This window comes from Homo sapiens, chromosome 11 (assembly GCF_000001405.40).
Source record: "Homo sapiens chromosome 11, GRCh38.p14 Primary Assembly".
In the NCBI taxonomy this organism is placed as follows: domain Eukaryota; kingdom Metazoa; phylum Chordata; class Mammalia; order Primates; family Hominidae; genus Homo; species Homo sapiens.
The window spans coordinates 14,694,622-14,718,292 of record NC_000011.10 but is presented as its reverse complement, the minus strand read 5'-3'; the positions used below and the strand labels follow the sequence as shown (position 1 = coordinate 14,718,292).

The 23,671-nt window shown below is 36.0% G+C and overlaps 1 protein-coding gene and 1 long non-coding RNA gene across 12 annotated transcripts in view, besides 2 other annotated features; both read right to left on the bottom strand.

The window, feature by feature from the left end:
• PDE3B (phosphodiesterase 3B) overlaps positions 1–23,671 on the bottom strand; it is a 255,518-nt gene that overhangs the window by 181,029 nt on the left and 50,818 nt on the right. The gene's annotated exons all lie outside the window — the stretch shown is intronic.
• Positions 1,530–2,115: an enhancer, noted in NCBI's record as "NANOG-H3K27ac-H3K4me1 hESC enhancer chr11:14737724-14738309 (GRCh37/hg19 assembly coordinates)". NCBI's record gives its function as "activates a minimal SCP1, AML or CMV promoter by ChIP-STARR-seq in naive H9 embryonic stem cells {active_cell/tissue: H9 hESC(naive)}" and the evidence as "EXISTENCE:reporter gene assay evidence [ECO:0000049][PMID:30033119]".
• Positions 2,116–2,702: an enhancer, noted in NCBI's record as "NANOG-H3K27ac-H3K4me1 hESC enhancer chr11:14737137-14737723 (GRCh37/hg19 assembly coordinates)". NCBI's record gives its function as "activates a minimal SCP1, AML or CMV promoter by ChIP-STARR-seq in naive H9 embryonic stem cells {active_cell/tissue: H9 hESC(naive)}" and the evidence as "EXISTENCE:reporter gene assay evidence [ECO:0000049][PMID:30033119]".
• On the bottom strand, positions 12,255–22,023 carry LOC107984315 (uncharacterized). The gene is made up of 2 exons (XR_007062606.1): positions 19,319–22,023; positions 12,255–17,639 (listed from the first exon to the last, which is right to left on the bottom strand). It is a non-coding gene; the product is annotated as an uncharacterized LOC107984315 (long non-coding RNA).

Sequence of the window (23,671 nt, the reverse complement as noted above, 5' to 3'; positions counted from 1 at the left end):
TTTGTAGGTCACTCAGGACTTGCTTTATGAATCTGGGTGCTCCTGTATTGGGTGCATATATATTTAGGATAGTTAGCTCCTCTTGTTGAATTGATCCCTTTACCATTATGTAATGGCCTTCTTTGTCTCTTTTGATCTTTGTTGGTTTAAAGTCTGTTTTATCAGAGACTAGGATTGCAACCCCTGCCTTTTTTTGTTTTCCATTGGCTTGGTAGATCTTCCTCCATCCTTTTATTTTCAGCCTATGTGTGTCTCTGCACATGAGATGGGTTTCCTGAATACAGCACACTGATGGGTCTTGACTCTTTATCCAACTTGCCAGTCTGTGTCTTTTAATTGGAGCATTTAGTCCATTTACATTTAAAGTTAATATTGTTATGTGTGAATTTGATCCTGTCATTATGATGTTAGCTGGTGATTTTGCTCATTAGTTGATGCAGTTTCTTCCTAGTCTCGATGGTCTTTACATTTTGGCATGATTTTGCAGTGGCTGGTACCGGTTGTTCCTTTCCATGTTTAGCGCTTCCTTCAGGAGCTCTTTTAGGGCAGGCCTGGTGGTGACAAAATCTCTCAGCATTTGCTTGTCTGTAAAGTATTTTATTTCTCCTTCACTTATGAAGCTTACTTTGGCTGGATATGAAATTCTGGGTTGAAAATTCTTTTCTTTAAGAATGTTGAATATTGGCCCCCACTCTCTTCTGGCTTGTAGGGTTTCTACCGAGAGATCCGCTGTTAGTCTGATGGGCTTCCCTTTGAGGGTAACCCGACCTTTCTCTCTGGCTGCCCTTAACATTTTTTCCTTCATTTCAACTTTGGTGAATCTGACAATTATGTGTCTTGGAGTTGCTCTTCTCGAGGAGTATCTTTGTGGCGTTCTCTGTATTTCCTGAATCTGAATGTTGGCCTGCCTTGCTAGATTGGGGAAGTTCTCCTGGATAATATCCTGCAGAGTGTTTTCCAACTTGGTTCCATTCTCCCCCTCACTTTCAGGTACACCAATCAGACGTAGATTTGGTCTTTTCACATAGTCCCATATTTCTTGGAGGCTTTGCTCATTTCTTTTTATTCTTTTTTCTCTAAACTTCCCTTCTCGCTTCATTTCATTCATTTCATCTTCCATTGCTGATACCCTTTCTTCCAGTTGATCGCATCGGCTCCTGAGGCTTCTGCATTCTTCACGTAGTTCTCGAGCCTTGGTTTTCAGCTCCATCAGCTCCTTTAAGCACTTCTCTGTATTGGTTATTCTAGTTATACATTCTTCTAAATTTTTTTCAAAGTTTTCAACTTCTTTGCCTTTGGTTTGAATGTCCTCCCGTAGCTCAGAGTAATTTGATCGTCTGAAACCTTCTTCTCTCAGCTCGTCAAAGTCATTCTCCATCCAGCTTTGTTCCGTTGCTGGTGAGGAACTGCGTTCCTTTGGAGGAGGAGAGGCGCTCTGCGTTTTAGAGTTTCCAGTTTTTCTGTTCTGTTTTTTCCCCATCTTTGTGGTTTTATCTACTTTTGGTCTTTGATGATGGTGATGTACAGATGGGTTTTTGGTGTGGATGTCCTTTCTGTTTGTTAGTTTTCCTTCTAACAGACAGGACCCTCAGCTGCAGGTCTGTTGGAATACCCTGCCGTGTGAGGTGTCAGTGTGCCCCTGCTGGGGGGTGCCTCCCAGTTAGGCTGCTCGGGGGTCAGGGGTCAGGGACCCACTTGAGGAGGTAGTCTGCCCGTTCTCAGATCTCCAGCTGCGTGCTGGGAGAACCACTGCTCTCTTCAAAGCTGTCAGACAGGGACATTTAAGTCTGCAGAGGTTCCTGCTGTCTTTTTGTTTGTCTGTGCCCTGCCCCCAGAGGTGGAGCCTACAGAGGCAGGCAGGCCTCCTTGAGCTGTGGTGGGCTCCACCCAGTTCGAGCTTCCTGGCTGCTTTGTTTACCTAAGCAAGCCTGGGCAATGGCGGGCTCCCCTCCCCCAGCCTCGCTGCCGCCTTGCAGTTTGATCTCAGACTGCTGTGCTAGCAATCAGCGAGATTCCGTGGGCGTAGCACCCTCCAAGCCAGGTGTGGGATATAGTCTCGTGGTGCGCCGTTTTTTAAGCTGGTCTGAAAAGCGCAGTATTCGGGTGGGAGTGACCCGATTTTCCAGGTGCGTCCGTCACCCCTTTCTTTGACTCGGAAAGGGAACTCCCTGACCCCTTGCGCTTCCCAGGTGAGGCAATGCCTCGCCCTGCTTCGGCTCGCGCACGGTGCGCACACCCACTGGCCTGCGCCCACTGTCTGGCACTCCCTAGTGAGATGAACCCGGTACCTCAGATGGAAATGCAGAAATCACCTGTCTTCTGCGTCGCTCACGCTGGGAGCTGTAGACCGGAGCTGTTCCTATTCGGCCATCTTGGCTCCTCCCACTATGTGCCACATTTTCTTAATCCAGTCTATCATTGTTGGACATTTGGCTTGGTTCCAAGTCTTTGCTACTGTTAATAGTGTCGCAATGCCCTCTCTCACCACTCCTATTCAACATAGCGTTGGAAGTTCTGGCCAGGGCAATCAGGCAGGAGAAGGAAATAAAGGGTGTTCAATTAGGAAAAGAGGAAGTCAAATAGTCTCTGTTTGCAGATAACATGATTGTATATTTAGAAAACCCCATCGTCTCAGCCCAAAATCTTAAGCTGATAGGCAACTTCAGCAAAGTCTCAGGATACAAAATCAATGTGCAAAAGACACAAGCATTCTTATACACCAATAACACACAAACAGAGAGCCAAATCATGAGTGAACTGCCATTCACAATTGCTTCAAAGACAATAAAATACCTAGGAATCCAACTTACAAGGGACGTGAAGGACCTCTTCAAGGAGAACTACAAACCACTGCTCAAGGAAATAAAAGAGGATACAAACAAATGGAAGAACATTCCATGCTCATGGGTAGGAAGAATCAATATCGTGAAAATGGCCATACTGCCCAAGGTAATTTATAGATCCAATGCCATCCCCATCAAGCTACCAATGACTTTCTTCACAGAATTGGAAAAAACTACTTTAAAGTTCATATGGAACCAAAAAGGAGCCCGCATCGCCAAGTCAATCCTAAGCCAAAAGAAAAAAGCTGGAGGCATCACGCTACCTGATTTTTCCCCTTTTCTTGCTTCTCTTCTCACTTCATTTGTTACATGGCTCTTTTTCTTTTATCATTATTTTAATAATTGTACCTTTAATAGATCATTTCCTATCATTCACATACAATCTTTATTTGGAATGAGGCAGAACATAAACAATTAATTAATAAATACCTAATTTTACTGAAGAATTGGCAATATCAAAATTCATTTGCTGTGTAATCACCAATAGAATATTTAAGAATATTTAAGATATTATATTTTAAATATGAGTGAAAATACTGCTTGGTCAGCCCTTCTCAACACCAGAGAGCTAGAAACAAGCCAAAACTTCTTAAGCTCCAGAACTGCAATGTCTCATACAGTAACCACTAGCTATATGTTACAATTTAAATTTAAATCAATTAAAATTAAATAAAACTTAAAATTCCATTTTTCAGCCACACTAGCCATATGTCAAGGACTCAATAGCTATGTGTGGCTGGTGGATACCACACTGGACACTGGAGAAAGTCCTACTAAACAGTACTGCCATTCCACATTGGCACCATCTTGGGGCATCAGTCATCCCAGGAAATGGATGGTCAAATATGTAAAATAAGCAATTAAATCTGAGGGTATAAAACATGTATTTCTTTTTTTTTTTTTTTTTTTTGAGACAGGGTTTAGCTGGGTCACCCAGGCTGGAATGCAGAGGTGTAGGCATGGCTCACTGCAGCCTGGAGCTCCCAGGCTCAAATGATCCTCCTGCCTCAATACCCTGAGTAGCTGGGACGACAGGCACTGCCACCACGCCCAGCTAAAAACATGAATTTCAAAGCTATATAAACCTTTGCTATTTCATAACTTAGGTCCACTAAGAGAAAAGCAAGCTAAAAATAGGGCCAAGGGAAGAATGTCATCATATTCACTTTGCAAACTATGAGAACCAATACAAATAGCAAGACACACACATATATATACACATTTATACGGTCTTTTTTTCTGACTATAACCCTCCCCTCCCCTGGACTGGAGCATGATAGAGTAATGAAAAATGATCTCAGGTTAGATTAACCAGAATGCTGAGAAAGCAGACTTCCTCTTTAACCAATCATCAATCAACCTGCTACAGTCATTTTTTAAAAAAAAAGTCACACGCGCACTGCCACTGCCACTACCACACTACCACCAAGTACTAGCCAGGTTGTGGTAAAACTGGTGTTCTCCCACAACTCTTCTGAAATGCAAAAAAACAGTAGAAACATCTTGAACTCTAGCCAAATTATACTACTTGAGACTGCTTCCATCACATACCCTATTTCCTCTGCCTGTAGTGTTTTTCTTCACCATCTTTATCTACTGAAATCCTGCTTATACGATAGTTTAGCCTCTGGCTTAAATTCCACCTCCTCTGTGATGCCTTTCCAAGTCACCCTTTATTAATTACAGTTCTCCAGGGAAACAGAAACAATAGTATGTGTGTGAGTGTGTGTGTGTGTGTGTGTGTGTGTGTGTGTAAAGATTTTTTATTATAAGGAAGTAGTTCACATGATTGTGGAGGCTGACCTAACATGTGCAGAGTTGTGGGAGCAAGTTGGAGAACCAATGGTTTAGTTTCAGTCCAAGTCTGAAGCATTAAGAACCAAGAAAGCTGGCAGTATAGTTTCCATCTGAAGGCCAGCAAGCTTGGGACCCAGGAAGGGCCAATGTTTCAGTTCAAGTTCAAAGGCAGGTAAAAAGCCAATGTCCCAGTTTGAAGGCAGTCAGGTAGGAAAGAATTCTCTCTTATATGTGGGAGAGTCTGCCTTTTTGCTCTACTCATAATCCATCTATCTCATCCAAAAACACTCTCATAGAAACTCAGAATAATATTTGACCAAATATCTGGTCATCCCGTGATCCAGTGAGGTTCACACATAAAATTAACCATCACAAACCCCAAATGGACTCTGATCTTAAAACACTTAGTTGATACTCAGCACAAGGCACTTAATATACATAATGTTTATATACTTAATATATATAACACCTATGTAATTAATGCTTTGAGTAACAGATACTTGTGTAACTATTTTAACACTCTATCAGAATGTATTGGCCTAAGGCAAAGACTTCTTGTATCCTTTGTGTTTATCCTAGTACCTTACACATAATTGGTATTCAAATTTTTTAAAATGAATGTTACATAAATGTCTATGTGCCTAACAGTAAAGCATCTCAATCTTATTCTTTGTACAACTTTATGAGATATATTAAGGAAATCATGGCACAAGGTATAACCAAACAGTTCACTATTTAAGATATTACATCATATTAAGGCATTATCTAAATCTGACATCAGTAGGAGGATTTGTATTTAATTCTCCTATACAATTGCTTGCAAAGAAAATTGGTTAAATCAATCCACAGAATTAACTTCTACTTTAAAAACACACCTTGGCCAGGCGCAGTGGCTCATGCCTGTAATCCCAACACTTTGGGAGGCCAAGGCAGGAGGATCACTTGAGGTCAGGAGTCCAAGACCAGCCTGCCCAACATAGTTAAACCCTGTCACTATTAAAAATACAAAAATTAGCTGGGTGTGGTGCTGTGCACCTGTAAGCCGAGCTACTCGGGAGGCTGAGGCAGGAGAATCACTTGAACCTGCGAGGCGGAGACTGTAGTGAGCCAAGATCATGCCACTGCACTCCAGCACAGGCAACAGGACAAGACTCCATCTCAAAAAAAAAAAAAAAAAAAAAAAAAACAAGCTTGTACGTCCAAATAAACTACTTTTCCAAACTCCAGGTAAAATGTAAATATTTAACGCACCTCAAAAAAGAAAACAGGATTGGGCGTGGTGGCTCACTCCTATAATCTCAGTGCTTTGGGAGCCCAAGACAAGAGAATTGCTTGAGGCCAGGAGTTCAAGAGCAGCCTAGCCAATATAGTAAGACCCTGTCTCTACAAAAAATAAAAAATTAGCTAGGTGTGGTGGCACACGTCTGTAGTCCTAGCTACTTGGGAGGCTGAGGCAGGAGGACAGCTTGAGCCCAGGAGTTGGAGGTTACAGTGAGCTATGATCGCATTACCGCACTCCAGTGTGGGGGACAGAGAAAGATCCTGTTTCTAAAAAATATACAAAATAAAACAGAAAACAGAAGTAGACAGGATAGTCACTCATGTACTATCCCCTACAGCCATTCTTGGACTTAGAAGAATGACTAAATTTTTTCTTAGCTTCTCAGGCCATAACAAATTATTTGTACTACTTTAGGTATTCAGTGTGCAGGATGATTTTAAAGGAAATTCTTTCCTTCCCTGACATGTTCTCAAACCTTAATCAAATTGCAAACTTCCAAGTGAATACGGCCATGCTGTGAATCTTTGGCTCCTATCCAGACTAACCAAATTAAGAATACAAATACTGTTTTTACCAGCAGTGAATGCTGACACTGATCCATTGCCCTTTGATATAGTTTGGATGTCCCCTACAAATCTCATGTTGAATTGTAATCCCCAATGTTGGAGGTGGGACCTGGTGGGAGGGGTTTAGGTCATGGGGGCGGGTTCCTCATGGCTTGGTGCTATCCTTGCAATAATGAGTGAGTTCTCTTGAGATATGATTGTTGCAAAGTCCGGCACCTCCCGCACCAGACTCTCTTGCTCCTGCTCTGGCCATATGATGTGCCTGCTCCCACTTCACCTTCCGCCATGAGTAAAACTTCCTGAGGCCTCCCCAGAAGCAGATGCCAGCACTATGCTTCCTGTACAGCCTGCAGAACTGTAAGCCAATTAAACTTCTTTTCTTATAAATTACTCCATCTCAGATATTTCTTTATAGCAATGCAAGAATAGTCTAATATACCTTTCTAGTCCTCTCAATTATATTCTGGGTCACCTCTTAAGCTTCAGACAAGTTGGGCCCTGCTCACTCTATCTGAGAGTCATATAAGAAGGGACATTAAAGATTAAAAACAAATAACTGCAAATGTAATTTTATCCCTTTTATCCATTATATCTTTAATCAGAGCTTCTAAATGTGGTAAATGGTTTCTAATTAAAATTAAGACTGCAAATTTTCTTTGTACATCTATAGATGTTTACTTGCAATACGGTATCCCTATAGCATCACTAGAAATAATAATGTGACATGGAAAAAATCTTAAACTCAGAGATCTTCCTTAAAAAAATCATAATTTTTATTTCTTTTTCCAGGCATTCATCCTCTATGTAATAGCCTATTATATACTAGTCTTTAACAAGTTAGCAAGAAAGCAATATAGGCAGTTCTTTGAGCAAGAAAAGTTCTTTGGGCAAATAACACCATTATCATATTCATCAGAACTCTTCACTGCAAGTGACAGAAATCCAACTTAAACCACATTTTTTTAAAAAAAGCATTTACTAGTTCACAAAGCTGGAAAGGAGACTGGCATATCTCTGAAAGAAGAGCTATAGGAAGGATAGCCTAAAAAAATGGAACTGGATCTCCCTCAGTCTCTGTCTCTCTCCTCCCTCTCTTTTTCGCCCTCCCCAACCCTCAACCTCCATCTCTTATCCTTGATAGCTTCTCCTTAGCTTCATTATTTAAGCAGACTTCTCCATATGGAATTAGATGGTAGTTGCCAGTGGCTTTGGATCTAAATCCAACCTTTGTAATTCCGGTAGAGAGGTTTTCTTCCCCCATTCCCTGTATATCAATCCTGATGGGAAAAGACTCTGATGGACTTTGGTCACATGCCCACTCAGACGTGAACCTACCATTATATTTAGAGGATTAATCTAAATTGGCCAGGATGAATAATGTGCCCACCTCTCTCGTGGTTGGTGGGAGGGGATGGTTGGACAAGATATATTTCCATAAGAAGAGGGACTGGGTGGAAGAGGATGTCCTAGGAAACCAAAAATAATGGCAATCACAATCAATCAAAAAAATAAATCATCTATTCAGCACCACATCTCTGCCAGAGCCCACACTAGACCTTTATATACACTATCTCATTGAAGGAGCACAATAACATTAACAGAGCAGTAATATCACAAACCATTCTCTAGATGAGGAAACTAAAGTTCAGAAAGATTAAGTTACAGAGGTAAGCTTCAGAGAATCCAAAACTTGGACTAACTCCAGGGTGTATGTATGCTCATTCATCTCTTCTATAAGGTCCTCCTAACCAAAAACTGACTATGACTTTATGCTACAACTTTTCCCCAAGACAAATGACTTAATGGACCAAGCTATCAATGTAGGGTGTTATTTTACCTTTAGAATTCCTTTGGATAGGGTGAGATTAAAGATATCTGTGAAACCATGAATAGGAATAATACAATTAAGAACATATATCCAAAAAGCAAGGACACCAAAGTTAAGCAGGAAAAAAAGTATTTTTATCACCATTATTTTCATATATAACTGAAAACAACAAAAAATATCCAATAGTCTAACAGGAACCCTCATAAGAAGACTGTGACAAAAAACGTATAAGAGTAAAGGGGAAATAAACCTATTACAAGGAAAGCAACAGCACAGGAATTTGTCTTCTCAATCTTGGCACTAGTGGTGCGGGGGAGAGAGGTGCTATCTCCTCTCCAAATTTGAACCACCAGCCAGAACACACACAAATCTGTAATCCGAATTCACACTAGGGTGGTCCAAGTACTCAAACACAAAAGATAATTTAAAATAGTTTCAGGTTGGTACTGTCCCCAGGTTACTGGCAGAAGAAAAGTGGTAGTGCCTCCAGGTTACTGGTAGTGCCCCCAGGTTACAGGCAAAACCACAAATCTTATATGGAAAAACTGACTTTAATCCACACCGATGTGATTATCAGATGCCACTGATTATAAGGTACACCCTGATTTCAGAGATTTTTTTAATGTGAAAAAAAATGTGCACGTTAAAATTCAATAAAACATGGTAAGTATCCTCAGGAAGACTGCAAAAGACTACAAAACATTGCTCTACAATGGTAGCATTTACATGGGTAACTACTAAATTTACCTTCTCCAATTCTGAATTCTCAACCAGCTCATTCTTTCCAGTTTCTCTTAACTACCTCACCACTCTGCACTTTTTTTTCACAGTTCTAACATCCAATCCACACTAATCTTTTCTACCTCTAGATTCAAAAAATATTAGTTTGTAACCCAATATTTAACACTTGATCATTGTACTAACATTGGAATTTTGCTTGATAAACTCAACATAGAATTGATAGTATTTCTGACAATGAGATATAGCTACATTTTGAAATTATTTTTAAACAAAAAATAACTTTAACCCATTTTTAGTATTTTATTTAGACATAATTTTAAACTTACAGAAGAGGTGCAAAAATAAGATTAGTGCATAGAACTCCTATATGTCCTTTATCCAGATCCATCTATTGTTAAAATTTTGTCCTATTTGTTTTATTATTAACATACACCTACATTCTCTCTCTCTATATATATATATAATTCACCCCTGAACTTTTTTAGAGTAAGTTGCTTACATCATGCTTTTTAGTCCTAAATTCTTCAATGTAAATTTCCTAAGATGAGGAATATTCTCTTACATAACCACACTATAGTTATCGACTCCAGAAAAATCAACATCACTAAATACCTGCATCAGATTTACTGTACTAGTACAATTTTGTCAGCTGATCCAATAACATTCTTTATAGTACTGCTTATAGAATCCAGTCTAGAAGCCATGTATTACATTTAGGTACGTCTAATATTTGAGACTCTAAGCTGTCCCCATATGTAAAAAACACATTTAAATACTTATATATATTTATAATAGGACTTAGCCAATGTCTTATTCCATTTTTTGTTGCTATAAAGGAATACCTGAGGCTGGGTAGTTTATAAAGAAAAAGGATTTATTTGGCTCATGATTCTGATGACTGGAAAGTTCAAGAATGGACATCTGCATCTAGGGAGGGCCTCAGGTTGTTTCCTCTCATGGGGTAAGGTGAAGGGAAGCCAGTGTGCATAGACCACATGACAAAAAAAGAAGCAAGAGAGAGATGGAAGGAAGTACCAGGCTCTTTTTAACAACAAGCTCCTCCAGGAATTAATGGAGAACTCACTCACCCCCAATGGAAGTCATTAATCTATTTGTGAGGGACTCATCCCTATGACCCAAATATCTCCCTTTAGGCCCTTCCTCTAACACTGAAGATCAAATTTCAACATGAGGTTTGAAGAGGACAAGCATCCAAACCATTGCAACCAAGAAGAAGGCTAAATAAAATAACCTAGTCTTACCTTCCAAGGGATGCTTCTCCATAGGTATACTTTTCTAATCTACTTAAATGAGTGATCTTAACCAAACAAGCTCTCTCTAGTCACTTCTCCTTGTATGTTACTATAAGGTATCCAAATACTATTTATGTTTTGACCAAAGAGTAGGAAACAAAGTGTTGAACTCTAGCTAAATTATTTGCCTTTCTTCATCACAAATATCATATATACAGGGGGAAAACCCCACACTCTCAGTAAAATATCAAAGAAGAAGTCTAAAGAATTAATGGGAGGGAAAGAGTAGTATGCCCATATTACCTCCTCTGCTGCTTTCAAAACACATTTTACAAACTGATGTTTCCCTAAAGAGAAGTCAATAATCAGACCTGGTTTCTCCCCACGGCATACAAAGTTAATGATTATTTATTTTATTATACTTCCAAATCCCCAATAAAAATCTTCCAGGATATTTTGCCTGTTTCCTAAAAGCCACACCGTTAATACCAACCACTTATTTTCCATATTTCTCTTTGCTTACGGCATCAAGCTTCACAGACTCAGTAAGAAATGATGCCCAAGGCTATCTGTGAAAGATAGGTCCTGGCTATCTTTCCACCCTCCTCTACTTTATTAGTCTTCTACCTAATTACCATCCTTTAGCAATATTCATCTTTTGTAAGAATTCAAATATACCAAGTTCATCAGGTCTAAGATGCAGTTGAACTCCTGTCCCCACTGACTAGAAAATCCATCCCCAGATTTTCAGGACTCTTCATCTCAGGTCTTCGCTCAAATGTCATCTCACAAAGGCTTTCTATAACCACACAACCCAAATTAGTCCTTCCAGGCATGTTCTACCCCATCATCCCATTTTCTTCTTCTCATCACTTATTACTATCTGAAGTTATCTTGTTATTTTATGTGTTGTCTTGTCCAATCTTTCCTCCCCAGTATCTCCCCAAACAATGAAATCTAAGTTCCATGACAGAGGCATCTAGATTGTCTTCACTGTTATATCCCCAGCACCTGGTACATACCAGGTACTCAATATTTGCTAGATAACAGAGTAAGGGGGAAATCTTGACACTTATCAGATGTCTAAGATACATTCTAATATGGCATGTACCAAAATGCTAAAGTATGAAAAATATGAAAACTGCAGTTATGTCTTCAAAGCCATTTTGAAATGTATGAAAGTGGTCAAAAACTCTAAAAATGAATTAACAATGCTCCTATCTAAATGTGTATTGTATGCACCTAATGAATTGATAATAAGTACAATTTCACCTATGATCTAAAATTTATAATGCACATCTTTTTTGTTTCTTTGAAAGTGGCATATCACCGTATTTTTCTTTAAAATACATTATATTGCTTAGTAACACATATATTAAAATAGCCAAGGTCAGATGTGGAAGAAATTTCACTTTGAATATGACCATGATGATGACAGGCAAATAATTATTGAGTAGTTACTATGTGCCCGCACTTTAAATACATTACCTCATTTAATCCTTTCAACATATTATTGTTGTCTTACAAATGAGAAAACTGAGAAACACAGTGAGTAATTTTCCCAAGATCATCCAGTAAACTGCAATTTTCAGTCACCTTCTTAACTGAATTATAGATGCTCAGAAAATGTAACTTTTTTTAAAAGATGAATCCATTTATTTAGCCTTTTAGTTTCAGGTACTGTATAATTTTAATTTTCCTTCTTCATTCAACTTGATATTTTTAAAAATTTATTATACTAATCTGAATCTAGATCAGTGTACAAATTCAACTTGCACTGTCACCAGCAAAGGGAAATAAGGATAGGTAGAAGAGGGAGAGAAGGGAGTGAAGGAGGGAGGGAGAAACAAAGGGAAGGAGAGGGGGAGAAAGGAAGGTAAAAAGGAAGGTAGGTTATTGCTATTACACTTACTCCAACAGTCTAACAACATGGCCATTGCATCCTTTTCTTGTTCAGCAGTTTATTGAACACATATAAAACAAGTTTAGTATTTTGTTTGCTTTAGTAGGCACACATAAAAGATTTGAAGTGACTATTGCCACATTTTTAATTGTATAGCTTTTTTACCTTATTTCTATATAAGTACCGAAAGACATTCCCAGTAATACACAGCAGAAAGTAACTGTAACATAAAGTTAACATCATGCTATATCAATATTCAATTAAAGGTTAAAATATTTTATTTGTAAATGAGCTAAGACCATACACACACTTCCTCCATAGTAAATACCCACATTCAACAATAAACATTGTAGCTTAACCACTAACATGGATTTGAAATCACAAAAAAAGCTCATGAGATTGTCCAACTTAGTGTTCCTAAGTTCCTTCGTCAAACTTGTTGAATAAAATATGCATACACCCATTTAAAATGTGCAGTTTGATTATTTTTAACAAATGTTGTACAACTGTGTGACAACCAACAAAATTAAAATACAAAACATTTCCATCACCAACAAAAGATACCTCATGTGCCTCTGCAGTCAAACTCTCCTACCACTACCCCAAGTCACTGATCTGCTTTCTGACACCATAAATTAGTTTTTGATTTCTAAAATCTCATATAAATGATATTATACAGAATATATTGTATGTGGCTTCCTCCATTTAGCGTCATGTTTTTGTTAATGTTTTAAGACTTATCCATGTGTGTGTTCATAGTTCATTCCCTTCTACTGGTAGGGATAGAGCACAATTTGTTTAACCATTCATCTGCAATGAATATTTGGGTGTTCCCAGTTTACAGCTATTATGAATTAACTGCTATAAACATGCATGACGAAATTTTTGTGTGGATATCTGTTTTCATTTCTCTTGGATAAATACCTAGGAGAGAATTCCAGTATCATATGCTAAACTGCCAAACTATTTTCCAAGGAATGAAAATGGTACATGTTCAAATCTTCTAGAATGTAGTAGCAGTGCTGAAATATTCTGCCTATTTTAAATTGAGTCAATTATTTTCTTTTCATTGAGTTGTAAGAGTTCTTTATATATCCAATATATAAGTCGTTTCTCAAATATATGTATTATAAATATTTTTCCTATGTTAACCCTTATCTTTTAATTTTCTTATTGATAACTTTTAAAGAACAAAAGGTTTTAATTTTGACAAGGTCCAGTTTATGAATTTTTTTCTTTTATGGTTTGTGTTTTCTGTGTTCTATGTTTTCTTCTAGATGTCTTACAGCTTTTTTTAGTTTTAAATTTAGGTCTATGACACATTTTAAGTTCACCTTTCCTGCATGATGTGAGGTAAGAGTCAGTATACATTTTATTACATACGTATTATACAGTTTTTCCAGCACATTTGTTGTAAATATTATTACTTCCTCCTTTGAAATGCCCTACCACCTTTGCCAAAAACCAACTGAATATGTATGTGTGGGTCTATTGTCCATAATATCCATTCTATCACTAATACCACATTGTCTTTAAGTAAATCTCAAAATCAGGAACTATAAATCCAATGATGTACTTCTTTTTTATTGCTTTGACTATTGATCTGTCTTTCCACATACATTTTGAATTTAGGCTGCCAACTTTTTAAATAAAAACAAAACAAAAAGAAAAAGACAGTTGAGATTTGTATTAGAATATCTCTGAATTTACAGCTCAATTTGTAACTTCATGTTCTTTAACCTCTGGCTGCACATTAGAATTATTTGAGCACACTGAAAGAAAATACAGGCTTGGACTCCCACCTCAAACCAATTAAATCAATAGGCTTTATTATGTAGTCATGATTCAGACATGCTGGTTTAATATTTTAACATAATTCTAACCATTAAAATTAAAGATATCTGAGACTATATGGTACTTTTTATCATGAATATTGCTGGTATCTAAATAAAAACTAGGAAATGAATTATAAAAATTAGTTTTCACTTGTTAAATCTATAGACCTAATATTTAAGTAAGATTCAGGCCACATATCAAGCCACATGGTCATCAAGCCAAACTGAAAATAAGAAAAAACTTAGAAAATTTTCAAAAGATTTAAGGAAGAAAAAACTCAAAACAGACTTGTCAGAATTCTATACCCAGCTAAACTATCATCCAAGAGTGAGAGTTAAACAAAGAAACTTCCAGAAACACAAAAAGAACTTACCACTAACAGACTCTAACTGAAAAAACTACATTTAAGGTGTTTTAAAAAGAAAAATATTAAACTAGTAAGAAGGAATGTCTCACACACACACACACACACAAACAACCGGGCCTAAACTGGGTAGTTCAACCAAGCATTTAAGGAACAACTAATATTAATTTTGTACAAACTGTTCCACATAACGGAAAAAGAGGTAACACAAACTTTTTTCATAAATCTAGTGTTACCTGGACATCAAAACCAAATGCAGACAAATGTTACATAGAAAGAACATTATAATATGCTAAGATCTCTTATGCAAATAGACCAAAAATTTCTCAATAAACTAGTAGCCACCTAAACACAGCAAAGGAGAAGAAAAAGGACATAATAACCCCAGCAGCCTTGATATCACTGAGTGGTGACAAGTCTCCTAAAATTTAAACAAAAGATTCCTGGTATTAAAAAAAAAAAGACAACCCTACAGGGCTTAGTTGAATTTATCCCAGCACTATATGAATTGCAAGCATATTTTTTCTTTATACTTCTCCACATGTTTGAAATACTATATATCATAATTTTTCTTAAGCTACAGAGTGGTAGTAATTTGCAGATCAGGGAAAACTGCAATCAGAATGCCTGTGGTAAAGGACAAGAATAAGAAGTCAATTTACTCCATGGAATCCTCCAAAGGCTTGGAACTCGAATGTAACAGTTGCCATGGGATACTGGGGTAAGATTTCCCCAAAAAAATATGAGCAATTTGGTTAAAAATCTGCATACTTATAAAAGACTATCTTCCCTCCACCACATTCAGTCAAGTGACTACTTGCCTCAGACTGACAGAAGACCAGGATTTGGATCTCTAGAAAAAAATGAACTAGAGAAACTCTGCATTTGGTGTTACTAGGTACCCAGTGGAAATGAGTAAGGTAGCAGAAATGACACAGCCCCTGTGTGGCGCAGGCCATAAGTGACAGGGAGTCAGTAACTCTAGGAGCAACTCTTAATCAATAAGGGACAGATGATGGTAGATAAATAGGTCAGTTTTCCTGAACCTCCATGGTACAATTCTAAGGTATGTTATAAACCATGATGGAAATGTCCTATATCTGCACTGGACTGGACTGAATTGGAGTGTTCTATATCTGCACTGTCTAATGTTCTACATCTGCACTTAAAGTGTGGCTGGTGTGAATGCAAACTGAATCTCTAATTTTACTTAATTTCATTCATTTTAATTTTAATTTTAATAGCCATATGTAGCTAGTGATTAGTATTAGACAGTGCAGTTCTACACAGTCTCTCTGAAAGTCTCCAGCAGTATTGAGCTCCAGCTGCTCCAAACGATAACCCACAAAATCAATACACCTTTTACTGGACTTCTTCTCTTCCCTGTCTCACCTCCTTATTCTCTCATTATAATTCCTGGAATCACCTTCCAAATAAACCAAAGATAGGGTATTTTAGATTCTGCTTTTGCAAGAACTAAGACTTGAAGAATCTGACAAAAGCTTGCAACAGAAAAGCAAAGACCAAAATGTGCCAAAAGAAATTAGGAAGTAGGAGGAATGACATCAATAAACTCTTATTAATAATCTCAGAAAAATAAGAATAGATGTTGTACCCATGAATCAAAGACATAATATTAAAATGGGAACAGAGAATAAGGAACCCCTCTAAGAAATTAAAACTATGATAATACAATTTTTATAATTCAGTAGACGGACAGAAAGATGAAGTGAAGGACAACTAGAAAAATAAGACAAAAAGCCTAAGAGATAAACTATAGGAGAAAAACACTTTAAAAATTAGGCAAATTAACCTAGGGAACAGAATTTTCAACTAACAGGAAGCCCAGAAAGAATCAAAAAAAGGGAAGAGAAAAAAAAACACACACATGAATTTTTCCCCAAAAATTAAAAAGTAAAAAGACCCATCAAATATCAGCACAAAGGTTGAAAAAAAGACACTTATCAAAGCACAGCATCACAAAACTTGTGAGCACCAGGGGTAAAGGAAATCTTGAACGCTTCCAGAGAGAAATCAGAATGGCTTTCTACTTATTAATAGTAACACTGGATGCTTTAAAAAAAAAAAGTGAACTACTTAGTTCACAAATAAACAGTATTTCCATAATCAAGTAATATAAATACCAAAAATAGATTTTAAATTCATGACATAACTATAGCAAGAGAATGGAGAAAGAATGGAGAGAGGCATAATAAAAGAGCTAACTCTTCAATTATCATAAGAAAACTGCTTAAGCCAAAAAATTAGTAGAAGAGCCATATTATTTTAAATTATGTAGGTAAATACCTTAAGAAATGGGGAAAAAATTAGGAGTAATTGCTTTTGGAGTGCAGGACTGTAGAGTGGAACAGAAATAGAAAGAAGACTGCTATTTTTCACCTTAAGTCTTTTGGTACTATCTTATTGTTAACTATGTGCATATATTACTTGAAGGAAATTTAAAAAGTATAAAAATTGAGCAGAAATTTTATGTTAAAAATTTTCAAACTTTGAAATAATTTTTGATTATCACTTGTAAAGAGATGGTGTGAATAACTGAAATCAAAGATAATTACACTGCAGATAATATAATTACTATTCATTTACCCATCTAATTCAATAAAACTTAAAAATGCTAACAAGAAAAATAGTGAAACTTATTAATTCATGCTGATGCAAACTAGCTACAATATGAATAAATCCTTTATTTTTGCAATTAAAATATACAAAATAAAATTTGTGGGGGAAGATTAAGCTCCATATGTGAGGAATATTAAGCGCTATATGTTTTACAGAATTAATATTAAAATTGGTTATTATCACTTGAGCACAATGAATGAACTGGTCACAGAAATATTATGTACATGATAGGCACTCAGATCTGCTCATAATGAACAAAATCAATAATCCTAGCAAGGTACCTAAAGAACAACAAAAAAGCCAATGCAAATTTAAAATGTAACATGGATAATATACAAGTAGTAATTGATACCTAATGTAAGTATATTTAACCACTTTTAGTTTCAGTTTCATCTTTTTTCTCTTCCAACTGACCTTTTGCTCTTCCACTCTGATAGATTTCCATAAAATAACTAAAACATGATACAGTGCAGAAAAGGAAAGCAATGATATCCTGATATCTACAATAGGAGAATAAGCTCACTCTTGGGAGATACTGCTTGCAACGGCTTCCCACACCTACTGCCACTTGAACATCAGAAAAACACTGAGGAAAAAGGGAAAATTTTCATTTAGAGGAAAACACACATTTGAAATTTAAGTAACCTTTTTTTAATTCAGCAAATGTTTTGAAAAATAATACCCTAAATATGGGGGAAACTGGCATGCCTTTTCTATACTTGTTTTAATGGCATTATACTTTGATTTTAATTTTAAGCAAAGAATTAACAGTTGTCAGTTCATAAGTAATTTAGCACTCAAATATGCCTTTCTAAATACTTATTTTTGACAGTTTTACAGCATTAATAAAATCAACTTCCTCTTTTTCTATCTCAATTTTTAAACAACTTCAAGAGCAAGTATTTCTAATTCTACTAATATACTGATCATCCAAATATTAGACTTTTGTTATTCAGCATAATTAACTACCAAATCTATTAATACATAGCTTCACTTTATATAAAAACCAAAATGAAACTCTTAATTTTCATACTAAAAATTAACCTTACTAAATATTAGCAGCCACATGTTAACCAATTAAGCCTATACAATGGCAAATAAAACTTACTATTACTAGCAAAACTAAAGAGAAGGAAAAAGACCAGCAGGCCAACACTTTAACTCCAATTTTTAAGGTGACCATGGGTAAAAATAGTATTTATTCATTTAAGCCAAACTCAAATCTCTACTGTCGGAGCCATATATAATTAACAAAAGATCATTAAAAGCACTCAATACTGTATTTGTCAAGAAATACTGCCACTGAGATAGCAATTTCAAAAGTCCCAGAAGGATTAACTGAGCTCTCGAAAAAGTTTCTAGCTCTAAAATTTATTAACACAGAACATTTTTCAGCTAAAAAGTACAATTTTCTCTAACATTATTCTTTTGTAGGTTTCACTAAATAACACCTTCTGCTTTAAAAATGAGAAGCAGTTTCAGAGGGAGCCAAATGTTCTAATTAAGTTAACTGGAAATGAGACAAACTTATTGAGGTTTTTCATATTAAGCAAATAAAATAACATCACTGGCATAGTATAAACTTTAGTGATTAAACGACATCAAAACTTGCTGAAAACTCATAAAGACGCCAAACATTTCCAATAAAATCTTCAAGAAAAAAATGTAAATAGCTACAGAATGAGAAGTCATTAGGAAACAATTGTTAGAAAACCTAAATTCTTTGGTAACGAAAACAAGGAATAGTTTTTCAAGTATTCTATATCACTTAAAGGAAGAAAAGATGTTTCCACATGAAACAACAGCTAAACATTTTTCTTATATAAAAAAGTAATAATGTTTGGACTTGTGGGAAAATAAGGTACTAGATTCATCTTAAAACTCACCTTATATTTCCCTTGTATGAAGTTTTTCCCTCATCCTTGGACCTATCAGTATATGATGAATGGAATCCCTTGACCTATCATATACTGTAAAGAATCAATGTTGGAAATATCTTAACATCAAAGAAAAAAAAGATGTTGCCAGTACTATGTGGATTTGGAAAAAGAAAAATCCCAGTAAATTCCAAGTAACCATTTGTTCTCACACAGAAATAAAACTTATTTGTTCAGTTTTGGAATGGATAGACTTTTCATTTGACAGAGCCAACAGAATTATAAAGCTTAGCTACTTTAAGCCACAACCCTCACAAACAACTAAGAAGCATTCATCAAGAGTGCCCTTCTTAGACCGACAGGAAGTAAGATTTTAAAAGAAGCTTACAAGTTTCCAAAAGAACAACTTCTGGTATTTCTTAAGATCCCCATATGATCACCTGGTCACTCATTTTCCTCCATGTATACTGTATAGCAAAGGCTTTGAAGTAAAACAGAACTGGTTTTCAATACAGAGCAGTAACCACCAGCTATCTAATAGTACTTAAATTCTATAAGCTTCAGTTTCTTCAGCTGCAAAAGAAGACAACCATACTCTATTTTGATGACTATTTCACAAATTTTAAAAAGAGAAAAAGAGATTATCATACAGATTAAAAATAACAGAAATCAATCTTGTACTATTTTTCTAGCCAATAGAAAGAGAAGAAAACACTTCCTAAGCACTGTGTGAGGCCAGCATAAGCCTAATAATATGCATACATGATATGGACACAAGAAAAGAAAATTATAGGCTAACATCTCTCATGAACACAGATGAAAACTTTTAAAAATAAAAATGATAATTTAGCAAAGAAAACCCAGCAATATATAAGGATAATATACATAATATACATAATCAAGTGGGGTTTATTCCAAGAATACAGTGTTGGTTCAACATTCAAAAATAAACCTAAGTAATATCCAGGCACAGTGAAGTGAGACCCATCTTTAAAAAGAAATTAAAATTTTTTTAAAAAGTAATTCACTACATTAACAAAATTAAGCAGAGAAATTCTAGGATCATCTCAATAGATGCAGAAAAAGTATTTGATAGAATTTAACATTCATTTATCGTTTTTTTAAAAAAAGCTCTTGGTAACCTAGGAATGGAAGGGAACTTCCTTAATCTGATAAAAGGTAGCTATTACCAAAAATAATAGTAATAATAATATACACACACATACACACAAACCTACCACTAATACCAATCTATTTATTAGATTGGTAAAATGTTCAATACTTCCCCAAAGGTTAAAGAGAAAAGAAGATTGTCCACTATCATCACTTCTATTCAACATTATACTAAAGGTTATAGTCAGGAAAACAGGCAATAAAAGGGTGGGAAAGTATAAAGATCAAAAAGAAAACAGGTAACATGATTATATACCAACTACAACGAATAAGCAAATTTAGTAAGGTTGTTTAATACAAGCTCAAGATTTTTCTATTTCTATTTCTAACAACAACAATCAAACATGAAATTTATGAAACACCACTTATACAATAACATAAGAAAATAAAATACCAATGAATAAAGACATCTACAACTGAAAACTAAAAATTGAGAAAAAAATTTTAAGATGTAAATAAATGGAGAAATATATCATGCTCATGGTTCAAAAGACTCAATATTGCTATGATGCCAATCCTCCCCAAATTAATCTATAGATACAATGCAAACCAAATCAAAATTCCATTAAGTTTTTTTGTGGAAATTGACCTAAGGATCCTAAAAATTACATACAAATGCAAAGGTCCTAGACTAGCCAAGGCAATCTTTAAGAACAAAGTTGAGAACTGACACTACCAGACTTCAAAATTTATTATATTGGAGAGTCTGACAACAACCAAAGAATGCATAAATAGACCAATGGAACAGAGTCCAAAAACAGATCCACATATAAACAGTCACTTAGTTTATGAAAAAGACCACTGAAAGTCTGAAGGGAAAAGACAATCTTTTCAATTAATGGTGCTAGAGCACTGTAAACCAGTAAAACAAACAAACAAACAAAAACCTTAATCCCAATTGCACACCATGAACAAAAATTAATTCTAGATCACATATCTAAAAGTGAAAGGTAGCCAGGTGTGGTGGCTCACAGCTATAGACTCTGCACCTTGGAAGGTCAAGGCGGGAGGATCCTTTGAGCCCAGGAGTGTGAGGCCAGGCTGGGCAACATGGTAAGACCCTACCTCTATAAAAATAAATCAAAAAATTGCTGGACATGGTGGCATGCACAGTGGTCCCAATTACAAGGGAGGCGGAGGCAGGAGGCTCACTTGAGCCCAGGAGGTCAAGGTTGCACTGAGCTATATTTGCACCACTGCACTCCAACCTGAGTGACAGAGCAAGACCCTGCCTAAAAAAAAAGTGAAAGATAAATCTATAAAACTTCTAGAACAAAATGTAGGACAATATCTTTGTGATCTTCCTGTAGGCAAAGATTTTGTAAATTAATATTCAAAAGCACTAAACTACTAAAGAAAAAAATAAGTTGGACTTCATGAAAACTAGGAACTTTTGTTCTCTAAAAGACACCATTAAGATTAAAACAGTAAGAGATAAGCCACAGACCAGGAGAAGATATTCCCAATACATATATCCCACAAAAGTTTTGTATATAAAATACATAATATAAAGAATTACTATAAATCAATAATAAATAAGGCAAACAATCCAATTTTTTAAAGGGGTAAAGATCTAAAGAGAAATTTCACAAAAGAGAATATCAATATCCAAATGGCCAGTCAACATATATAGAAGCACTCGCGCATCATCAGCACCATAGAAATGCAAATTAAAATGACAATGATACACAAATATACACCTCCCAGAATGGCGAAAGACTTCACTCACTGGAAGTGTTCTTGAGAATGTGAAGCAAATGAAACTCTCACCTAATGCTTTTGGGTGAATACACTGGTACAACTTGGGAAACTGCTTGGAGTTTCTACTGAAGTTAAACGTATACCTACCCTACAAAGGATATGAACAGACACTTCTCAAAAAAAGACATACATGTAGCCAACAGACATACGAAAAACAGCTCAACATCACTGATCATTAGAGAAATGCAAATCAAAACCACAATGAGATACCATCTCACGCCAGACAGAATGGTGGTTATTTAAAAAGTCAAGAAACAACAAATGCTGGCAAGGTTGTGGAGAAACAGGAACACTTTTACATGGTTGATGAGAATGTAAATTAGTTCAACCATTGTGGAAGACAGCGTGGCAATTCCGCCAAGATTTAGAACCGGAAATACCATTTGACCCAGCAATCCCATTACTTAGTATATACTCAAAGGAATATAAATCAGTATATTATACATGCACACATATGTTCACTGCAGCACGATTCACAATAGCAAAGACATGGAATCAACCCAAATGCCCATCAATGATAGACTGGATAAAGAAAATGGTGCATACACATGATGGAATAGTATGCAGCCATTAAAAGGAATGAGATCATGTCCTTTGTAGGGACATGGATGAAGCTGGAAGCCATTATTCTAGCAAACTAACGCAGGAAGAGAAAACCAAACACTGCATGTTCTTACTTATAAGTGGGAGCCAAACAGTGAGAACACATGGACACAGGGAGGGGAACAATACTTGCTGGGGCCTGTTGGGGGAGGGTGGGGAAGCAGAGCATTAGGGAAAAGAGCTAAAACATGCTGGGCTTAATACCTAGGTGATGGGTTAACAGGTCCAGTAAACTACCATGGCACATGTTTATCTATGTAACCTGCACATCCTGAACATGTACCCCAGAACTTAAAAAAAATAAAATAATTATTTTAAAAATACATATACCTACCCTATGACTCAGTAAACCCACTCCTTGTATATAGCCAACAAAATTAGTACATATGTCTACCAAAATGATGTATAAAAATGCTCACACAAGCTTTATCCATAACTACTCCCTCAAAATAAAAATAATCCAAACGTCCATAAACTAGAAAATGAATAAATAAATTGTGGTCCATTCAAACTATGGAACACTACACAGAACTGAAACCCAACAAACTGGTGATAACGTAACAATGTGGATGAATTTTGTAGGAGTTGTTTTCAGCAAATGAAGCCAGATAAAAAAGATAACAAACCATAAATAAATAAAATTGTTTTGCCTTTTTTGAATTTTCATAAAATAGAAATGGAAATAGAAGTCAGAAATATGAAATTGAAAAACGAGAAAACAAATTGATGGAAATGGAAGTCAGAACAGTGGATACCTACAGAAGGTAGTAATGACTCAAAGGGTGAACAAAGATTTCTTCTGGTGTGCTGGGAATACGGCATACTTGGATCTGTGTGGCGACTATATAGGTATGTATCTAAGAAAATATTCACTGAGTAGTATATCTGAGACTAATATACCTTACAGTATATGCATGTGCCTCAATTTAAAACCATTATTTAATCTCCAAGTTGAAAAAACACAGAAGCTTCATTCTGTAATTTGGAGGTATCTACAGAAAAGAAAGGTATTTAATAGAGGATTATAACTTATTTGGTTCACATAAAAGCAGACAAGAAATGCAAGCATACCTTGGAGATACTGTAAATGTGGTTCTGGACCACTGAAATAAAGTGAGTATCAGAATAAAGCATGTCACATGAATTTTTTGGTTTCCCAGTGCATAAAAAGTATATTTACACTATACTGTAAGTATATTTACAC